The sequence below is a fragment of the Homo sapiens genome, chromosome 1 (genome assembly GCF_000001405.40).
Source record: "Homo sapiens chromosome 1, GRCh38.p14 Primary Assembly".
In the NCBI taxonomy this organism is placed as follows: Eukaryota; Metazoa; Chordata; class Mammalia; order Primates; family Hominidae; genus Homo; species Homo sapiens.
This window is the reverse complement of record NC_000001.11, coordinates 37,748,101-37,770,024: the sequence shown is the minus strand read 5'-3', so window position 1 is coordinate 37,770,024 and position 21,924 is coordinate 37,748,101. Positions and strand designations below refer to the sequence as shown.

At 50.7% G+C, this 21,924-nt stretch overlaps 1 protein-coding gene, 1 long non-coding RNA gene and 1 other non-coding gene across 14 annotated transcripts in view, besides 2 other annotated features; 2 read left to right on the top strand and 1 right to left on the bottom strand.

The window, feature by feature from the left end:
* The first annotated feature begins 2,708 nt into the window (after positions 1-2,708).
* Positions 2,709-4,296, top strand: LOC105378650 (uncharacterized). The gene is made up of 3 exons (XR_947192.2): positions 2,709-2,829; positions 3,344-3,534; positions 4,132-4,296. It is a non-coding gene; the product is annotated as an uncharacterized LOC105378650 (long non-coding RNA).
* Positions 4,297-4,904: 608 nt separating this feature from the next.
* EPHA10 (EPH receptor A10) overlaps positions 4,905-21,924 on the top strand; it is a 51,241-nt gene continuing 34,221 nt past the window's right edge. For 8 of the 12 annotated variants that reach the window (XR_001737124.2, XR_946613.3, XR_001737123.2 and 5 more), the window contains exon 1: positions 17,344-17,528. Coding sequence is in view for 5 of the 12 variants with exons in the window: in XM_017001080.1 (XP_016856569.1) it covers positions 17,363-17,528 (166 nt within the window). In the remaining 7 variants the exon portion in view is untranslated. Of the gene's footprint in view, positions 5,065-7,175; positions 7,241-7,941; positions 9,741-15,654; positions 15,811-16,788; positions 17,150-17,343; positions 17,529-21,924 lie in introns of those variants that run through there. The other 4 variants (XR_946610.2, XM_047418403.1, NM_001099439.2 and 1 more) reach the window with 3 other exon arrangements.
* Positions 16,720-16,769: a silencer, noted in NCBI's record as "silent region_677". NCBI's record gives its function as "represses an Ori minimal core promoter by ATAC-STARR-seq in GM12878 lymphoblastoid cells {active_cell/tissue: GM12878}" and the evidence as "EXISTENCE:reporter gene assay evidence [ECO:0000049][PMID:35858748]".
* Positions 16,780-16,829: a silencer, noted in NCBI's record as "silent region_676". NCBI's record gives its function as "represses an Ori minimal core promoter by ATAC-STARR-seq in GM12878 lymphoblastoid cells {active_cell/tissue: GM12878}" and the evidence as "EXISTENCE:reporter gene assay evidence [ECO:0000049][PMID:35858748]".
* Positions 19,723-19,823, bottom strand: LOC124904835 (small nucleolar RNA U13). The gene has a single exon (XR_007067431.1). It is a non-coding gene; the product is annotated as a small nucleolar RNA U13 (small nucleolar RNA).

Here is a 21,924-nt window from a genome sequence, read left to right as displayed (position 1 = left end):
GTATGTGTGTGTGTATGTATATATGTATTAGGGAGAGAGAGAGAGAGAGAGAGAGAGAGTCAGAGAAGCACATATTTGTATATTCCATCCCAGTCCTGGCCCCTACACAGTTACTCAGGTGCCAGTAGCAGGTTTATTCCTTCTGGGGATTTGGAGGCACAAAGCTATCCGAGCCTGATGCCATCAAATATTTAAACCATTCACCTCCCTCCCGTCCCACTCTCAAAGCTGTCTTCACATCATAAATTGGCTTCCTGTGCATATTTTCCTACGGGGAAAGAATGTGCTGGACATGGCATTGTGAGCATTCTGGTCCCCTTGGCAGTTCTATTTCTCATCATAAATTAATACATTGCTTCTCTGGCTCAGATAGCAGGATAGGAGCTGGGTTAGTAGGATCTACTTTCCATTCCCCAATAGATAGGTTCTCTCTTAATGCTGTTAAAGTCAAGTTCATAAGCCTGGACCATGATGAATTTACCAAGGTAAAAGTCACCTCTGATGCCACTTGTCAGCTGGCCAGCCAGCCTGCCCTGATGACACTCCTGTCTCTTCAAGCACATTTCTTTCAGACTCCTGTGCTTCCTAGCCACATTCATCTCAATCAGCTGTCTCTTTCTTTATCCCTCATTCTGTCTTTTCCTCTATGACTCTCTCTCTCTAATTATATATATCTTTCTCTCTTCCTACTTCACCACTTAATCTTCCTTTATCTTTTTTTTTTTTATTTGACGGAATTTCTCTCTTTTTTGCTCTGGCTGGAGTGCAATGGCATAATTTCGGCTCACTGCAACCTCTGCCTCCCGAGTTCAAGCAATTCTCCTGCCTCAGCCTCCTGAGTAGCTGGGACTACAGGTGCACACCACTATGTCCAGCTATTTTGTACTTTTAGTAGAGATGGAGTTTCACCATGTTGGCCAGACTGGTCTCGAACTCCTGACCTCAGGTAATCCATTCGCCTCAGCCTCCCAAAGTGCTGTGGTTACAGGTGTAAGCCACCGTGCCCAGACTTCTTTTCCTTTTTTCTTCTGTTTTTTGTTTGTTTGTTTGTTGTTGTTGTTGTTTACCTTAATTAACCATGGAGTTGAAAAATAATATATACCAGAGCTATGTGCCAAGCACAGAGCTGGGTCACATGTAAAAATTATATTCTGACCTCACAATAACTCTGAAAACTGTTTTTGTTCCTATTTTACAAAGAAAGAAGTGGAGGCTCATAAAGGGTAAGTGGTTGTGTTTCATAATCTTAAAGGTTTTCTCTGCTGAATTTTCAAAATTAGTAAATTAAATGCTTTGTGCTTCCTTTATCTAAGAAAATACAGTTTAGGCCAGGCATGGTGGCTCATGCCTATAATCCCAGCACTTTGGGAGGCTGAGGTGGGTGGATCACTTGAGGTCAGGAGTTTGAGACCAGCCTGGCCAACATGGCGAAACCCCATCTCGACTAAAAATACAAAATTAGCCAGCTGTGGTGGTGTGCACTTGTAGTCCCAGCTACTTGGGAGGCTGAGGCAGGAGAATCGCTTGAACCTGGGAAGCAGAGGTTGCAGTGGACTGAAATCAGGCCACTGCACTCCAGCCTGGGCAACAGAGTGAGACACTGTCTCAAAAAAAAAAAAAAGATGACCCTTTGAACAATAAAGCTCTCACTGCTCTTTGCCTCTCCCCATCCTTCTTCCTGAGAGTGGGACTTGACCCTGATTCCTCTGACACAAACTTAAACTTCTTTATGGAGGAGATAACCTTCTCTGTCCAGTCAGGCTCAACATACTTTCTGTATCTGTGCAAAAGGAAGAGGTCAAATCTTCAGCACCTAGATTTGTAACTTTCAGTAACTTGGAGATGGAGGTTGTGGTAACATTAAATCTGCTCCCTGGAAGGTCACTTTTTATTATTTTGGGTGTTTAATTAAGTTGCTCGGCCTCATCAAGTGTCCTCCCCATGATCCTAGAAGATAGTGAGGTAGAAGTAGAGAGGAGTATCCCTTCCAGCCTGCTTCAGTAGAGTTCTGAGAGGAGCAAAAGAGAAAACAAGATGTTTCTGGGTGGGTTCCAGGCCCCTCCACCCTTCTGCAAGGGAGTGAAGGGTGCTTATCTCCTGAAGACATGAATTGATGGATTTTGGTTATAGGCCGGAGGAGCAGATGCAACCACTGTATTTTCTTAGGTAAAGGAAATATAAAGCATTTAATTTACTAATTTTGAAAATTAAGCAGAGAAAATCTTTAAGATTATGAAGCAAAACTACTTACTCTTTATGATCCTGCCAAGGATCAGAACATGGCAGCAGAGAAGTCCGAGGTCTAACTGAATGTCCAGACTCTGTTGGATTCAGCACCATAGACAGAAAGCAGCCCAAAGCTGCTGAGGGCTGAGGGTTGAATGCCATAGACAGATACCCCTTCTCTGTCCCCACCCCCAATTTCACTAGTCCCCATTGCTATTCCTGGGAGGAACCTAACCCCTTCCATTAGTTAACTGGCCCCCAGCACTTAAAGGTCGAGATAAACAATGGGTTGGTTTCCTTCTAAGGCCCTCCGGAATTTCTTTACTGAGCTTTCAGTTCTGCGGCTTCCTGGTAGAGTGGGGTCCGCCTTAGAGCAACTCTTATTAACATCCAGCTGATTTGCATATATCTGCATTCACTGGGGCTTCTCCATTCTGGTTTTATTGTAAATGAATTGCTCAGAGGAAGAAAGGGAAGGATTATTTCACTCCTTTTTTTTCCTCTTCTTTCCCCCTATTCCTAGGGTCTCTGTCTGGAAATTTCCCCCAGATGCGTGAAGGTGTGTGTGGTGGAAGAGGGTAGAAACCAGACTCCAACAGTCAGGTATTTGCCAGAGCATCCTATGTAGATTTCCCCAGATAATTTCCCCCATCTGTTTGGTTTCTGAAAGATCCTTGTCAGGTTCAGAGGAAGTCTGTATTTTGTTTTAGCACCGAGGGTCAGAACCTCTGGGCTGAAGTCCCTGGAGCTTCAGTAAGAAGCCATGATTGGTGCCTTAGAGCCTGCTAAGGGGATGGAACCCGGTTTTAAAGAGGAGTGAGGGGTGGTGGAGTGAGGACTCATTTTGAAATGAAAGGAGTCCTGGGTCTCTAAGCAGCTTCTAAAAATACCATCTCCCAGAGGTGGAGGCAGGGGGAGGGGAGAAATCGAGCGTGAGGAGAATGAAGATGGAAAGGAGGTGGCAGTGTGAGAACCCTTCCTCAGGTAGGTCTGGTTTTAGAAGTCCCGCCTGCATCCAAGGACTGGAGGGATGCCACACCTCCTTCTGCTTCCTCAGGGGGCTTGTCTCCTGTGGTGTCCAAGCCACAGCCTCTCCTGATGACCTTTCTTTCTGCAGGTAAAGAAGACCAATTCCTCCCACCTACTCCTCCTATTGCTACTGTCCAGCAAGTATGTCTGAGTGGGCACGTGTGCATTTACTCGCACATATACACAAGCACACACGCAGAAATGGCACATGAAAGCGGGTTGTAAATGGCCAGTGATCTACGATGCCAGGAATCCTCCTTACACTCGGCGTTCAAAGAGGTATGGACTCTGGCAGAGACAGCGTGGTTCACCAGGGCATCCGCAGCACAGAGCATGGCGCCCAGTGAGGGCTGGGTAGAGGGGTGAGGGATACATATATGCAAAAGCACAGACACTCAGACCGCAGGGGCCAAGTAGTCACAGGACTCACACTCACTCTCGAGGTTTCTCAGGCTATATTCGCTTCCAAATAGAGAGGGGGTGGGTCCCCCAAGAAAAGAGCTCGGAAAAGCCACGAGGTGGGTGGAGCTTTCTCCCCTCAAGTTCAGCCCAGATGGTGGCGCTCAGTAGCCGCCTCCCTCGTCCTGGAGGGCCCCAACCCTTCCCACCACCAAAGTGTTAAACCCTCAGCTTGCACATAAATGACCTTCACTAGACAGAGGTCTTGTTCCACGTTTTCTTGCGGCTTCTTCAGCGCCGGCTGAACTCTGCCAGGATTGCTCCGCCTCTCTCGCAGATGTCTCCGATTCCTGGCCTCTGTGCTGTTCACCAGTCCCCTGGGGTGGGCGGAGTGGGGTGATCAAAGAGGGGAACCCCCGACTCTGAGCAGACTGAGGGCATGGGTGGTTGTGAGGTGTGCTGCTTGTATCTTGACAGCAGGAGCAAGAACCTGAGGAACCGATCGTTCATGCAAAACCGCCACCGCCCCCATCCCAGCGTCCACATGGTTTCCCAGCCTCGGAAGCGCGTTGGTAGGGCAGGACCCCGTCCCTCACTTTGCTCTCCTTTCCCGAGCAGCTCCCGGGATCGTTCGGCCCCTCCTTCCTGCCGCTGTGTGTGTGTGTGTGTGTGTGTGTGTGTGTGTGTGTGTGTGTGTGTGATGAGGGCGGGAAGAGAAAGGGGGGGATGAGCTAGGAGACACCGGGAGCCTCAGACACAGGAACAGACCTAGGGCAGGGAGACAGGAGAGCTCCCCAGAGCTTGGGGTCAGGACATAAAGCTTCAAAACCCCGCAAGTCCTGGGAACAAGGGAGCTTTCAGACTAGCTCAGAGGCTGCAAGTGTTGCTGCCTCCCCGAGGGTCGCCCCTCCTTAAGCCAAGCCCACCTTGCCTGCCTACTTCTCAGGAATGAGGAGCTAAGGTTTAGCGCTCTGGGCCACCGATGCCAGCTCATTCCCCTCTCGCAGAAGCCCTGCCAGCTCCCACAGCTGCCCCACCCCCCACGGTTTGGAGATCTGCAGGACCCCTTCCTTTCCCCACCAGTTGGGTGTTCCGCCCCTGGCCTATGAAACTCCACCTTCCCACCCTCTGCTGGCGGGGATTGGTTGGCATCCCGCGGCGGTGCCTAGTGATTGGTTCCCATGGATGATGGTGAGCGGTGAGACTCCGCCCCCCGCTGGCTCTGGGGTCTGGGGGCATTGCTCAGCGGTGCTAGGCTGGCGCGGCTTGAGCCGCCGCCGGACTGACAGCTCGGTCTGCGGACCATGGAGACCTGCGCCGGTCCACACCCGCTGCGCCTCTTCCTCTGCCGGATGCAGCTCTGTCTCGCGCTGCTTTTGGGACCCTGGCGGCCTGGGACCGCCGAGGAAGGTGAGAAGACTGGTGAGCTCTGCTCGGAGCGTGGCATACCAAAAGATAGGGGGCTGGCGATGGGGGTTCTGGGGGAAGGAGTCATTGGAGAGACTAGAGTCTGTATTGGGGCTTGAAGCAAGCAGGCAGCAAAGAACTGGAGAGACAGAGAAAAATGTGATCAAGCAGTAGCGAAGAGAGGGGCGCTGAGGAGCTTGGGGGCTGGAGACCCGGGAGGTTGGGAAAGAAAGAGGCCAGGAACCGCGGGAGCCAGAGGCGGCGGTCCAGCGGCCGGTGAGACGGACAAGCTGAGTGATTGGAGGTGGGAGGTGCGGGGGCGGGGAGATGAAGAGTGGAGACAGGGAGATGCGGAGGTGAGCTCGGAATATGGGGAGACGGGATGGAGCCCGGACTACAGGGGCTAGGAGACCACAGTGTGGCCAACAGAAGGTGGAATGCTGGTCGAGGGGGCTGGATCCGGGCGCTGCCCGACGTGCTGATCATGGAACTGTCCGCAGTGCTGAATTCTGAGCGTAGTCTGCCGGGCGCGCTCCGCGTTGCCGGGTTTGAGGCTGTCGGCGATACTGGAGCCCGCGTCTTGCCTCTGATTGTGCATTTAGGGGAGCTATACGCTCAGTTGAATCCAGAGGCGTCATATCTAGGTGCAGAATCCGGAGGAGCTGGAATCTGAGGCGTTGACCGCGGGGTTGGTCTGGGCCCTGGATGGCTGATGCCTTCCAGTTCGCGATTCCGATGTGCTGTCAGTTGCGCGGATCTCGGAAAGCCGTCGGCGGTCCTGCCCACAGTCGCTGACGCCTCTGGAGAGGCCCTCACCTTGGTGGCCCACCCCCTGGTTTAAGCTCCAGAGGGTAATCTCCCAAGACTCCGGGGTGTCCTGACCTCCTGTCTCTGGTCTGCGGACTCTGCTGTCCAAACCATTTTCTGTGATCCATGCTGAGAGGTTGCAGGCTGCTGATCCGATGCCTCCTGGGGGAATAAAGGGACTTCAAGCTTCTCTGGTAGGAAGGGTCATAGATGTATACATAAAAGAACCCCAGACATTCTTTCAAAAGCAGTGGAAGTGACAGCCCCTGGGAAAAGGGCTGGCTGAGGAGAAGAGAGATTTTATTTCTCCAGTTGTTAGCAGTATCTCTCCACATTGTTTTCTCAGAGGCCCGGGAGTCAGTCTAAAAATGTTCAAGTCTTCATGCCTGGGGACCACCGACCTCAGAAAAGCCCCTGAGTAGGAGTGGATTGGGGGGTATATACAGGAATCCCCTGATACATTCACTACTCACTTTCTCTCTCTCTCTCTCTCTAATTGACTCTTAGCTATAATTTTGGGAACCTAAGAAGGCTGGGGAGAGTCACTGACTCCCACCCCCAATCTGAGAGCCAACCTTAGAGTATTTGCCATGGACCCTGTAGAAGGCTGAATGATGACCCCCACCCCCAATATGTCAATGTCCTAATCCCTAGAACCGTGAATGTTAGCTTAATTGACAAAAAGGACTTTGCATATGTGATTAGTGATCTTTTGAGATGGAGAGGTTGTTTTAGATTATCTGGATGGGCCCAATAATCACAATGGTCCTTGTATGAGGGGTGCAGGAGGAGCCAGAGTCAGAGGAGGAGGCAGTGTGATGACTGAGGCAGAGATTAAAGTGATGTGATTTGAAGATGGAGGAGGGGACCACAAGCTAGGGACTACAGGCGGCCACCAGACGCTGAAGATGGTAAGGACATGAGTTCTCCCCTCAGAGCCTCCAAAAGAAAACAGTCCTGCTGACACCTTGACTCTAGACCAGTGAAAGTGGCTTTGGGCTTCTGACCTCCAGAACTGTAACAGAAAAATATTGTGTTGTTTTAAGCCACTAAATTTGTGGTAATATGTTACAGCAGCCCCAGGAACTGAATACAAGCTCCTTCCCTACTGACTGTGGCTACCTCTCTCTGGATTTGAGCTATTCACACCCCTCCTGGGGATGTATGGAGTGGGAAAAACTTGCCCATATCATTTGTCACATATTGCATTCTCTCAGCAAATTTACAGGGACTTCACCAAAGGATTCCACTCTCTTGCTAAACTGACCTTCTCGATTTCTGATATTTCTGTCTTCCCCTCTCCTTAGTTATCCTCCTGGATTCCAAAGCCTCCCAGGCCGAGCTGGGCTGGACTGCACTGCCAAGTAATGGGGTAAGTGCACAAGTGTCCCTCCCTGTCCCAGGGATCCTCTGGTGGTCCAGGACACAGTCTCCTCAGCTCCTCATGTTTACATCAGACAAAAGTGCTCCTCAGAGTGTGTGGTCTCCAGCAGCCCTGGCTTCAAGCCAGAGTGGCCTGTTAGAAAACATTGAGTCTTCAGCCAGTTAGACAGTCAAAAAAAAAAAAAAAAGTGAATAAGTGAGGAGAGAACTGGCTGTCTAGGAACAGAAATGTGGCATCTGGATGGAGCTAATACAGGACAGTGGCTTGCACATAGTAGTAGATCCTCCAAGCAATGTTGTTGATTGATTGACACAGCAAGCAAGACTGGGAGTCCTAAAAGAGGCTTGGAGACTTGGGGTAGGGGAGGATGATGTGGGCTGTAACAGCAGCTTGGTGGAGTGCAAAGGGCACTGGTCAGAGAGTCAGGAAACTACAGGCACCATTCCTAGCTCCACCACTAACTTGATGTGCATACCTGGTCAGATCGCTCTCCCTCTGGAGCCTCAGTTTCCCCATCTATAAAAATAAGGATTGGGATCATTTGTTTCCAAAGTTTCTCCCAGCGCTGCATCTTACAATTTCCGGGGTGTGCATGGTGCATGAGAGAGAAAGCAGGAGTCACTGCTAGCGCTCCACCTCCTGGAAGCACTTTGGCTCTGGGCTGCCCACCCCTTTACTCTTGTCCCCAGTGGGAGGAGATCAGCGGCGTGGATGAACACGACCGTCCCATCCGCACGTACCAAGTGTGCAATGTGCTGGAGCCCAACCAGGACAACTGGCTGCAGACTGGCTGGATAAGCCGTGGCCGCGGGCAGCGCATCTTCGTGGAACTGCAGTTCACACTCCGTGACTGCAGCAGCATCCCTGGCGCCGCGGGTACCTGCAAGGAGACCTTCAACGTCTACTACCTGGAAACTGAGGCCGACCTGGGCCGTGGGCGTCCCCGCCTAGGCGGCAGCCGGCCCCGCAAAATCGACACGATCGCGGCGGACGAGAGCTTCACGCAGGGCGACCTGGGTGAGCGCAAGATGAAGCTGAACACAGAGGTGCGCGAGATCGGACCGCTCAGCCGGCGGGGTTTCCACCTGGCCTTTCAGGACGTGGGCGCATGCGTGGCGCTTGTCTCGGTGCGCGTCTACTACAAGCAGTGCCGCGCCACCGTGCGGGGCCTGGCCACGTTCCCAGCCACCGCAGCCGAGAGCGCCTTCTCCACACTGGTGGAAGTGGCCGGAACGTGCGTGGCGCACTCGGAAGGGGAGCCTGGCAGCCCCCCACGCATGCACTGCGGCGCCGACGGCGAGTGGCTGGTGCCTGTGGGCCGCTGCAGCTGCAGCGCGGGATTCCAGGAGCGTGGTGACTTCTGCGAAGGTATCCAGTTGGCTGGGGGCCGTGGGGTGGGAGTGTAGAGCGTAGGTGGCAATTGAGAGAGAGTGTGCCCTAGAGGAAAGAGGCGGGTGTGGGGTCGGGGGGCGGTGGAGAAGCCTTGGACTCTGGAGCCCAAGGAGAGCCCTGAAGTCTTGTGGAGTTTCCAGTGAGTCCAGTCAGGGCCAATGAGTGAACTTACTAGATGAAATTGACTGGCTAAGGAGGCATTAGGGATCTATATCTTAGGCACCTTGCACAGGCCTTCTCGTTTATTTATTTTCATGGCAATAAAGGAAGTCATTGTTTTTTTTTTTTTTTAAAATAAGGAGTCTCTCTTGCTCTGTTGCCCAGGCTGGAGTGCACTGGCTTGATCTTGGCTAACTGCAACTTCCACCTCCTGGGTTCAAGCAATTCTCCTGCCTCAGCCTCCTGAGTAGCTGGGATTATAGGCGTGCACCACCATGCCCAGCTAATTTTTGTATTTTTAGTAGAGACGGGGTTTCACCATGTTGGCCAGGCTGGTCTCAAACTCCTGACCTCAAGTGATCCACCTACCTAGGCCTTCCAGAGTGCTGGGATTATAGGCGTGAGCCACCGTGCCTGGCCTAAAGGAAGTCATTCTTATCTCTATTTCACAGATGAAGAAACAGAGCCTCAGAGAGATTAGTACCTCACTTGCAAAGTTAGGAAATGGGGAGCTAGGATTTGAATTCAGGCTTGCCCAACTCACATTCTATGACATCATGAGGTCTCCTCAGTGCATAAGGAAGAACTCTACAGCAGCCCAATCTTCAGGCTAGTGGGATTGGTTGCATTACAGAGAGGAATCTCCCAGTCACGGACCAAATACTTGCAAGTTAGAGGCTGGCAGGGGGGATTTTTATGCTGGAGAGAGGGATTGGGAAGTTGCACTAGATGATTACGAAGATCACATCCCACTCTCTGAACTACAATCACTGTGCTCCCTGGGGGAGATCCTTCATGTTGAGGGTTTTGCTGGGTTCTCAGGCTAGTGGGGGCATTAGGAACAGACCTCTCATTCTCTCTCTTGCCTGTGGCTTTGGATACAGAGGGTGATGATGGGGTTATTAATGTGTGTACTTAATATAGAAAGATCAAGGTATGCTTTTTCTAAACCATGTCCTTTTCTGGGTGCCAGGGCAACAGAAATGAGTCAGACATAGTCCTAGCTCTCAAGAAGCTCACAGTCTAGATGGAGAGATGCAAAAATTTAAAAATCACAAGAGGGTAATATATGCTATAACAGAGGGATACACAGAGTGGTGGGAGGACAGGGGAGGAAGTGACTAAATTTGCTCTCATTCCTTTGTTCAATCATCCATCCAATATGAATTGAGGATGTGCCAGCTGCATTTATTGAGGGCTTATTATATGTATATAGATGAATGCCACCATCTCCTCCCTGCGGAAATTGTAATTTAGAGAAAGACTGGGAGGCATGAACCTTCCTGAGCTCTCCAGATATAGTTAGGATCCACCTCGGTGCTCTCCAGCATTCATTGAAACCTATTTCTGTACTTACCCCATGGTATGCACTGATCTACTTATGTGTGTTTTCACCACTAGATTAAGAACTTCTTTTTTTTTTTTTAGAAATGGGGGTTTGTCTATGTTGCCTGGGCTTGCGTGTAGCAGCTATTCATAGGTATGATCATAGTGCATTACAGCCTGGAGTTCTTGGTTTCAAGCATTCCTTCTGCCTCAGCCTCCTGAGTAGGTGGGACTATAGGGACCACACCCTAGATTAGGAACTTCTTGAGCTCAGGCACTGGGTGTTACTAGTGTCAGCAGCCCCAGCATTCATAACAGGATAAGGCATACGGTAGGTGTTCAGTGAAAATGCATTGGGTGAAAAAGTGGTTACTATAGGGTGTGAAACATAAACAGAGAGCTAAGGAAGCATGGAAGGGAGAACCTAATTCTAAGCATGGAGAAGGCTTCCCAGAGAAGGTGAGAAGGTTTTTTTTTCCCAGGCAGCTTAGAGCATTCTAAGCTTAGGAATTGCATGCAGAAGGATGGAGGCAGAAGGAACATAGCATGGCTGGGCCTATGTAACTAAATGTGGTTGGAGCAGAGGGCATGTGGGGGTGTGGGAGTGAAGTGATGGGGTTGGAGAGGAGCAGGTGGAAATCATGAAAGGCCTTGAATGTTGGGATAAAGAGCTTAGACTTTATGCTTTAGGCCAATGGGGAGGATCTGAAGCAGGGATCTGACATGCTCAGATTTGTATTTTCAAAATATCACTCAAGCTGCAATTGCAAAGAAAGGATTGAAGAGGGAAGGATTAGGAGCCAGAAGATGAAGAAGGAAGATGGTGCAATAGTGCAGGAGAAAGAGCACAAGGGCTGAACTAAGGTAGTGGCAGAGATCATTGAGAGATGAGGATAGATGGGATCATGAGTTAGCATCCACAGCACTTAGTGACCATGTGATACAGGAGGAGAAAGGAGTCCCCTTTGACTTACATGCTACTGGGGATTGAATGGACAGAGGGATCATTCACTAGGGTACAGAACACAGGACCTGGATAGACACATATTTATGATGTCCACGGTGCATTCCAGTGGAGGTAGCTAGAAAGTGGGTCTGGAGCTCTGAAAGACAGAGACAGTACTTGAACCTGTGGGTGTGGTTGGGACAGACCAGGAGAACGTGTGGGGTAAGAAGCCAAGAGGGCCAACAATGAAGACTCATAGAATAGCAATACTTAAGGACAAGTAGAAAATACAGAGCCCATTAAAAAGGCTGAGAGGGAGTGATCAGAGTATGGAGGAGAACTAGGAGAGTGTGATATTATGACAGCCAAGAGAGATTGAAGGTGTCCAGGAAGGAATGCCCTACAGAGTTGGGAAGCAGTCAGGTAAGTCAAGGGTTAGAAAGTGCCCAGTTGGTGGCCTTGGTGAGAGCAATTGCAGCTGAGTGATGGACACAGAGAACAGGTTGCAGTAGATTGAGGGATAAAGGAAGTTGAAGAGCTTGAGTCAGGGAATCTAGAAGCCTGGATTTGAATTAGAAGAGGAGGTATCTCGAGGAGGACATTGGATTGAGAGAGGATTTTTATTATAGATGGGAGAGACTTGTTTGTATGCGGAAGGACAAAGAGCCACTGGGATACCAAGTGTGTATATGGGGGGGATCCCCATCCCGGTCCCAGGAGGCAGGAGTATTTTATTACTGATGTGGGCTAGAATTGCTGATGCATTTTGCTAATAAAAAAGCAGGCCAGATTTTAGTCAGTTTTATTATTGTTTTTACATACTCTATAGTTTGTGCCCTTATTGCCTGCACCCAAAATGGGCCACTTTTTACTGCTTCACTACCAAGAAGGGAGATGACTGATGGAATGTAGTATTTGATGAGGTTAAAGGGAGAGATCCAGGGTGGAGACAGAGGGGCTGGCCTTCAACAGGAGGTGGCTCATTCCCTCCTCTAGGACTGGAAGGGAGGAGGAGAGGGGAGATGGTTGTGGATGGGGGCATTTGTGTATTCTGATGGGCAGATGTTGAGGGAATTATCAACTGATGGCTTCCCTTCTCCCTATAAGGTGGGAGGGAGGGCATCTGTACAAATGGACAGTAAGGTCCTTGTCTGTTTTATTCATTGTTGTGTATCTATAGAGCCTACCTAGTAGATGCCAAAAAATATTTGCTGAATGAATGGATCAGGAGTGAGAGGAGGAGGTTTCTCTGGGAAATGAGGGAGAAAGAGAGAGAGAGAGAAAGAGACTCAGGAACCCAAACCATGTCTGATGAGAACAGAAAAAGGCCATTTGTAATGGCCTCAGCTCTGCCTTGGGGAGTGGGGAGCTGGGGACAATGCCAAGGAAAGCTTCACAAGGGAGATGTTATTTGAACTGGGGTTTGGAGAAGTATAGAAGTTTGCCAGGAGAAAAAGGATATAAGGAATTACAGAACAAGACCCAGAGGTGTGAAAGGATGAGCTCAGTGTACCATGGTTAGAGTGGCTGGCAGTGGGGAGCTGTTGGAGGACATTAGGAAGGGAAGGGAAATGATTGGATTTGCATTTAGAAAGTTAAGGCCTTCCAAGTGCCTTCTGCAGCTAACACAAGCTTCCCTCTAAAAGTAGATGGATAAGTGGGGGAATAGAACGAATATGTTCTTTTCCCCTTTTTGTTTCTCTTTAGTGACCTTGACTTTTGTTCTCCCTCGGTTAGCCACTAGAGAAATTAGTAAAAGAGCTGGGGTTTCCTTTGGGGGAAAAAATCAGGGCATATAACAAGTAGCTTTAATTCTCTGCTAGGGCCAGGTGCAGTGGCTCACACCTGTAATCCCAGCAATTTGGGAGGCTAAGGCAGGAGGATTGCTTGAGCCAGGAGTTCAAGATCAGCCTGGGCAACACAGGGAGATCCCATCTCTCCACACACAAAAAATTAGCCAGGCATGGTTGCACAGCATGCCTGTGGTTCCAGCTACTTGGGAGGGCTGAGGTGGGAGGATTGCTTGGCCCCAGGAGGCAGGGGCTGTAGTGAGCTATGATTGTGCCACTGCACTCCAGCCTGGGCAACAGAGCAAGACCCTGTCACAAAGAAACAAACAAACAAAACAACTCAGTGGGATTGCCTTGGAGCCAAGGGACCCAAGCAGATATGTTCTCTGAGGCTCCATAGGGCACAATGAGCCCCTGTGATGGGGTGGCACAAGGGGCATTACAGACAGCGAAGCTAATGGGGGCTCATCCTAAGAAGCACTTTCTGCCAGCATTGTTCAACAAAGGCAGCCTCAGAAGCGGGTGAATGCCTCATGATAAAGTATGTGACAAAGACTGTGGCTACTGCTGGGGAAGCTGCCGGAGGACCAGGCCAGTGGGAGCTGAGCTAGATTATCTCTGAAGGTCTGACCTTGAAGAGAGGGAGGGGCTGGCAGTCAGGAATCCCTGAATCTGCTCTTCAGCACAAACTCCTTCTAAGCAGAGCCTCTTACAGCAGAGATACCACTGTGGTCGCTGATGGGCCCACCCACCTCTAGGACAGCAGCCACCCTCATACACTTGTGGGGAGGGAGCCTCCAGCATTCTTCCCCTATTTTTGTGAAACCCTGCGAACAGATCATTTATCTGGGCTCTCACTTGCTCTCCTATTTCACAACAGTGGTGGGCAGGGCATGGTTGTTATTCCTATTTGACCAATGCTTTTTTTGAGGCCAGAGAGGCACAAGGAGTGGCCCAGCCAACACTAGAACCCAAGCTTTCCAAGTCCCAGCCTGGGTCTCTGCTGCCCACCAGACCACGGGGATAGTTGGCCCATGCTCTGTTCTGCAGGCAGAGGAGACTTCTGAAGGCTCCTGGGCTGCCGAGCCCCTCCCCAGAGTTGTGCTGCCCAGAACTCTGGGCAAGATGGACCCTCTCAAACCTATGCCTTCCAGACAGTGGAAATCCTAGTCCCCTCCCCTCTTCTGCCACACAGGCTGAAAGTTCCTCCTGAGGGCTAGTCTGCACCCTTTCTGTTGTACTGCGTCTTCTTGGAGCTGGAGAGCAGCCAGCTAAACTAGAGGAGAGGGCCAGGGAACAAGGTGAGGACCACCCAAGTTCTGAGAGGTAGGGCCAGGAACCAACTGGCCCAGCTGGTGAGAAATTTTTTTAAAGTGGGTGTTTAGCAGTTACCACTTAAGGCCTGTGGGGGAGGAACAGTAATTACTATCATTATTGTGAAAATGTGGTTGGTACTGGGCTAGGTGGTTTACATGTTTTATCTCAATCCTCCAACAACCTTTTTGAGGTAGGTATTCAACACAAGGCTCAGAGGGGTCAACTGATGTGCTCAAGGCCACACAGCAAATAAGTGGGGTGACTCAGCTACAAACCCAGGTTGTTCAGATAGAAACACTTGTGATCTTAACAACCTGTGTTCTGAGAAGTGAGAGAAGCAAACTGAGTAGGTGTCAAGACTGGAACCAGGTCTGACTCATGGTCCAGGGAACTTTTACTGGCCCTTTTCTCTCCACCCACCCCCCTCCACCTGGCTGGCTTTACTTCCAGTTGGGAATTTATGACACACTCACTCACATGATGGTGGTGGTGGGAGGGTGTGTGTGTGTGTGTGCATGTATGCTTGTGTGTCTGTCCCTGCGTAACTGTGGAACAGCTCTTGGGGCACCTCTCCTCCCCTCTCTTTCTCACACCAGCACTGCAGAGTTTGACTTATTTTCTTCCAGTGGTCCTGAGGGTGGTGTGATGTGGGCTTGGGTTGGGATCCCACAGGCTGCGGGAGAGTAGCTGTAGGCAACTTCACCTCTCCTAGCCTTAGCTCCCTCATTTTAAAGAGGATAAAGGGTCGGGCACAGTGGCTCACGCCTGCAATTTTGGCACTTTGGGAGACCAAGCTGGGCAGATCACTTGAGGCCAGGAGTTCGAGACCAGCCTGGTCAGCATGGTGAAACTCCATCTCTACTAAAAATACAAAAAAAGTAACTGGGCATGGTGGTGCACACTTGTAATCCCAGCTACTCAGGAGGCTGAGGCAGGAGAATCGCTTAAACCTGGGAGGTGGGGGTTGCAGTGAGTGGAGATCCCGCCACTGCACTCCAGCCTGGGTGATAGAAGGAGACTCGAAAAGAAAAAAGAAAAAATAAATAAAATAAAAAGAGGATAAAGTATATAACCTCACAGGTGGTTGTGAGGATTCAATGAATTAATAGACGTAATTTAAAAAATAATAAATAGAGACGGGGTTTGGCCATGTTGTCCAGGCTGGTCTCCAACTCCTGGGCTCAAGTGATCTCCAGCTTTGGCCTTCCAAAGTGCTGGGATTACAGGCATGAGCCACCGCGCCCGGCTGAAAGTAAAATGTTTCAAAGTTTTCCGAACACACAGCGTTTTCTAAGGGTAGGTAATGGGTTGTTCAGGAGTCACTCCACGGGGCAGTGCTGACTGGAGTGGCTGAGTCCCCTGACTGTTTTTCTATCGCAATTGGAGGAGATAAACGCTGCCCTAACCAGGCCAGTCAGGAAAGCGGGGAGAAACTGGAGGAGCCCCCTCTTCTCACCAGCCATGCCCTGCAGCCTGTCCCCCAGGGTTTTACAAGGTGTCCCCGCGGCGGCCCCTCTGCTCACCGTGCCCAGAGCACAGCCGGGCCCTGGAAAACGCCTCCACCTTCTGCGTGTGCCAGGACAGCTATGCGCGCTCACCCACCGACCCGCCCTCGGCTTCCTGCACCCGTGAGTCCCCCCTCCAGGCTGCACTGCGGAGGGTGGGGGGTGGGAGTGGCCAAGAAGGAAGGCCTGATCCAGGTGGTGGTGAGGGCAGGGTCTCCGCACTGGGGCGCACGTGGGCGGATATGGGGGCCAGCGCCCCGGAAGGCGGCGTACGGGGGAGCGGAGCCTGGACGCGCCCTGGGGGCCGGGGCCTTTGATGAGAAGAACCAGGACAACTGCGAGAGTCCAGACGGAGGATGGGGTTAGGATGCCTGGCAGATCACTGAGGAGAGCGCCCCTCCGCTGCCCTCTCCTCACCCTGCCTACCCTCCAGCCGAAAGGGGGGCTCCCGACCTTCGCACCATCGGTTCGGTCCCCATGCTGCCATCCTCGGTTCCTCACTAACCTCCTCCCAAATCCTCACCAACTGCCCCGCCACTCTCACATTCCGACCTCCCAAGGGCCCCCACGCCCCCGTCTCTGACCCTTCCCGGGGCAAGCCCCTCCTCCCGCTCGCCCCTGCTCCCACTCACCCCTGCTCCCGCTCGCCCCTGCTCCCACTCACCCCTGCTCCCGCTCGCCCCTGCTCCCGCTTGCCCCGGGCTCATCCGCCCTCGACCCCTCACTGACTGACCATCTCTGTACCAATCTCCCTGACTGAACCCCACGCCCCCATTCCTCCCACCCCAGACCCCTCACACCTTCCTATCCCCCATGCCCACTGGCTCCCACGGCCCATTCCCGCTCATCCATCCCTGTTCCTTCACCGGTCGTCCCTTCTACCTTCCTCCCTGACTGACCCCATGCCACTGTCTCTCCTGTCCCCCGTCCCCCCTCATCCACCAAGTCCCTTGATGAACGCCCTGGTTCCCTCCTCCCCGACTGACCCTCGCGCCCCTGCTTCTCCTGCCTCACTGGGGGTGGACAAGACCCCGCCCCCCCCTCGTGCATCCCGCCCCTCTCACGGGCACCCACGCCCCGCCCTGACCGCCCCGCCCCTGTGCCGCCTCAGGGCCGCCGTCGGCGCCGCGGGACCTGCAGTACAGCCTGAGCCGCTCGCCGCTGGTGCTGCGACTGCGCTGGCTGCCGCCGGCCGACTCGGGAGGCCGCTCGGACGTCACCTACTCGCTGCTGTGCCTGCGCTGCGGCCGCGAGGGCCCGGCGGGCGCCTGCGAGCCGTGCGGGCCGCGCGTGGCCTTCCTACCGCGCCAGGCAGGGCTGCGGGAGCGAGCCGCCACGCTGCTGCACCTGCGGCCCGGCGCGCGCTACACCGTGCGCGTGGCCGCGCTCAACGGCGTCTCGGGCCCGGCGGCCGCCGCGGGAACCACCTACGCGCAGGTCACCGTCTCCACCGGGCCCGGGGGTAAGGCCGTCCGCGCCCCCCACCCCGAGGCCACCGCGCCTGCCGCCCCTGCGCCCTCTTGGGGCCGCCCCGTCGGTCCTGCGGGAGCCCCACCCACCCACCCCAGAGAAGCCATCCTCTGTACACGCACCCCGCCCCTCTCCGGGACACAAAGTCACCCCCCCGGACGCCCCAGCGTCAGTCGCCCTCCCGAGTGTGCGAGAGGGACTGAGGATGCAGGCGTCCCCTTACTACTGGGCCAGAGGGGAGGCGCGCGGTTCTGTTGCGTCTGCGGGAAGCACCTGTGTGCTCGCTTTTCTCCTGGACTCCTTGCACAAAGCCTCTGTCCCGCTCACGGCTCTGCAGTTGGCCTCGCCGCTGATTTCTCAGGGAAAAAGAGGTGGAAAGTCCCTTAATCTCTTACCTTCCCTTTAAAAAAATGTCAGTAGGAATCCGAATTTACTTCCTTCCCTCTGTCTCGGGAAGCCGGATCCGGCCCTGTGTCCCTTACCTCCAACCCTCGGCCTCTGCATGGTTTTGCTGCATCTGGCCACCTCCTTTCCTGGTCCCGGGAAAGGGCAAGGAAGCTTGTAGAGTTAGGCTGTAGGGGCGATGGAACACACCAGCCAATACATCTCTGAGTCTGGACATGAGGTGAATAAGTGAAGACCTACAACCTTTTCACACCACACCTTCATTCCTGAGAGTTTCTTTTGATTCGCTTCTCAGCTGGGGTGGACCTTCAAGTAATGCTTGTATTCTTTGCAAGAAAGATAAGCGAGTGGTATGGTTTCTGACTCCCTTCCTAATCGAGCCTATAGGGTCGGCCTGTCACCCTGCATCCCTGCTTTCTGTGATCCCGCTTCTGTCTTTGGCAGTGGTGTTGCCAAGAAGTCTGAGGCTAGGGTTATTTTCATTCTTTTCTACTTAACTTGGACATATGACATGTACACGTATGCACACGGATGTTAGAATAATTCTTTAACCTGCTTAACCTACTGTTGATAATAATTTTTTTTTTTTTTGAGACAGAGTCTTGCTCTGTCACCAGGCTGGAGTGCAGTGGCGCGATCTTGATTCACTGCAACCTCTGCCTCCCGAGTTCAAGTGATTCTCCTGCCTTAGCCTCCCGAGTAGCTGGGACTACAGGTGCATGCCACCACGCCCAGCTAATTTTTGTATTTTTTAGTAGAGACGGGGTTTCACCATGTTGGCCAGGATGGTCTCCAACTCTCAACCTCATGATCTGCTGGCCTCAGGCTTCCAAAGTGCTGGGATTACAGACGTGAGCCACTGCGCGCCTAGCCAGACTTTCTTTTTTTTTTTTTTGAAATGGAGTTTTGCTCGTCACCCAGGCTGGAGTGTGGTGGTGTGATCACAGTTCATGGCAACCTCTGCCTCCTGGGTTCAAGTGATTCTCCTGCCTCAGCCTCCCGAGTAGCTGGGATTACAGGTGCGCACCACCACACCCAGCTAAGTTTTGTATTTTTAGTAGAGATGGGGTCTCACCATATTGGCCAGGCTGGTGTCAAACTCCTGACCTCAAGTCATCTACCCGCCTTGGCCTCCCAAAGTGCTGGGATTACAGGCATGAGCCACCTCATGCCAGGCTGAAAATAATCATTTAACCAATATGGATTTCTTTTTTTTTTTTCTTTTTCTTTTTCTTTCTTTCTTTCTTTTTTTTTTTTTTTTGAGAGGAGTCTCGCTCTGTTGCCCAGGCTGGAGTGCAGTGGCGATCTTGGCTCACTACAAGCTCCGCGTCTGGGGTTCACGCCATTCTCCTGCCTCAGCCTCCTGAGTAACTGGGACTACAGGGGCATGCAGCCACACCCGGCTAATTTTTTGTATTTTTAGTAGAGACAGGGTTTCACCATGTTAGCCAGGATGGTCTCGATCTCCTGAGCTCGTGATCTGTCCTCCTTGGCCTCCCAAAGTGCTGGGATTACAGGCGTGAGCCACTGCGCCCGGCTACCAATATGGATTTCTTTTGATTGAGTAAACCTTTTGATTTGCACAACTTTTTTTTTTCCCGGGAAAAGTTTTCTTCAGGCCGGGAACAGTGGCTCATGCCCTTAGTCTGAGCACTTTGGGAGCCTGAGGCCAGGAGCAATATAGTGAGACCCTGTCTCTACAAAAAATTTTAAAAATTAGCCAGGCATGGTGATGTGTGCCTGTAGTACCAGGTGCTCAGGAGGGTGAAGGAGGAGGATCAGTTGAGCCCAGGAGTTTGAGGCTGCAGCGAGTGATAATTGTGCCACTGCACTCCAGCCTGGGTGACAGAGCCAGACTATGTCTCTTAAAAAAAAAAAAAAAGTTTTATTCAGCCACTGCTTTGACTAGAACTTCTGATAGCTCAAATATATCTCTTAAAAATATCTCTAAGCCTTAGGTTTTACATTCATTTTCTGATTCTCAAATCTTGTCACTTCCCTTATCCTTTTGAGCTCTTAATCCATTTCCACTGCCTTTTGGAGATTTTCCAGCTTGTCTGGGTTTCTGGAACAGTACTGTTTTTTATTGTCTCTATTGTGATTTAACATTTGCTATTGCATTTACATCTTTAAAAATTCTTTTTTTCCATCTTTCTTTCATGTCAGATGGGTATTTTGCCAACGTGAAAAGGTTCGGGGGTGACACATCTCACATACGAGTGTGAATCCCCAATCATCACACTTGCAAACTACAAAAGGATCACATTTTTAAAAATTCAGTATAGAAGAAGAAAAAACCCATAATCTTATTACATAGATAAAAACAACTATTAATATCTTAGAGTATATACGTCCAGAAAATTTTTCCTGTCTATCTTGATCTCTGTATTCATATTTGTAACTATCTACCTATAAAATCCCTTTTGTTTTAATACAGTCATGCACCATATAAAGACATTTTGGTCAACAATGGATGGCATATATGATGGTGATCCTGTAAGATTATAACGGAGCTGAAAGACTCCTGTCACTTAGTACTTTCTGTTACAGTTGCCTGTAGTATTCAGTACAGTCACATGCTGTCACCCAGGCTGTACAGGTTGTAGCCTAGGCGTGTCATAGGCTATGCTGTCTAGGTTTGTGTAAGTACACTCTGATGTTTGTATAACAATGAAATCACCTAACAACGCATTTCTGAGAACATCTTCCCATCATTTAGCAATGCATGATGGTATATGTAATACTAACTTTTATCTGGCATTTTACATTAACAATCTTTTTTTTTTTTTTGAGACGGAGTCTTGCTCTATCACCCAGGCTGGAATGCAATGGCTCAGTCTTGGCTCACTGCAACCTCCGCCTCCTGGGTTGAAGCGACTCTCCTGCCTCAGCCTCCTGAGTAGCTGGTATTACAGGCACACACCACCACAACCGGCTAATTTTTGTATTTTTAGTAGAGACAGGGTTTCGCCATGTTGGCCAGGCTGGTCTCGAACTCTTGACGTCAGGTGATCCACCCGCCTCAGCCTCCCAAAGTGCTGGGATTACAGGCGTGAGCCACCGTGCACGGCCTTATGTTAACAATCTTAACTGTTTTGACACAGATAGATTTAGAAGCCATGTTAAGGAAATACTCTTCTATTTCCATTTTCTCAATAAAAATACTAAGCTTCCACTGATCTAGTGCTGCTGTATTTGGCACTGTGCAATATGATTTTCTACATTAATTCATTGAAACGGGGCTGGGCACAGTGGCTCACGCCTGTAATCCCAGCACTTTGGGAGGCCGAGGCAGGTGGATCGTTTGAGGTCAGGAGTTTGAGCCAGCCTGGCCAACATGGTGAAACCCCGTCTCTACTAAAAATAAAAAAAATTAGCCAGGCGTGGTGGTGCACACCTGTAATCCTAGCTACTGGGGAGGCTGAGGCAGGAGAATCTCTTGAACCCTGGAGGTGGAGGTTGCAGTGAGCTGAGATCGTGCCACTGCACTCCAGCCTGGGTGACAGAGCAAGACTCCACCTCAAAAAAAAAAAAAAAAAAAAAAGATGAAAAGAAAGGAAACTCATCTTAGATTGGTTTTGGAACCCAGGTCTGTCTGACCTCAAAGCCCTGTGCCTTTAATCCCTAGGCCATATAATGCTTCATTGAACTTTTTCTAAAAATCAGAAATGGATGTTAATTTTATAAAATGCTTATTAAGCATTTTCAATATGACCAAATTTTTTCCTTTTTGACCTGTCGGTATGATGAATTCTATTAATGGATATTTCAGTGTGAACTCTCTGCACTCCTGGATTATACCCTACTAGATATATTATTCTTTGGATGTTTTGCTGAGTTCATTTGCTTATATTTTAAGATTTTTCCCATCTACATTTCTAAGAGAGATTAGTGTTTTGTAATGTGTTCTTTGTCAAGTTTTGGCACTATGGGGATGCTGGCTTTGGTAAAGGTATCTGGAAAAATTTCTTCTTTTTCTCTGCTCTGGGACAGTTTTAACAACACATTTACATATTCTTTGAAGGCATAAAAAACTGCCTGGGAAACTTTCTGGGTTCTATGCCATTTTTGGAGAGAAAGTTTTATTTATTTGTTTATTTATTTATTTGAGATGGAGTCTCTGTCGCCCAGGCTGGAATGCAATGGCACCATCTCAGCTCACTGCAACCTCTACCTCCCAGGTTCCAGTGATTCTGCTGCCTCAGCCTCCCAAGTAACTGGGATTATAGGCAACCACCACCACGCCCAGCTAATTTTTGTATTTTTAGTAAACATGGGATTTCACCACGTTGATCAGGCTGGTCTTGAACTCCTGACCTCAGATGATCTGCCTGCCTTGGCTTCCCAAAGTGCTGGGATTAC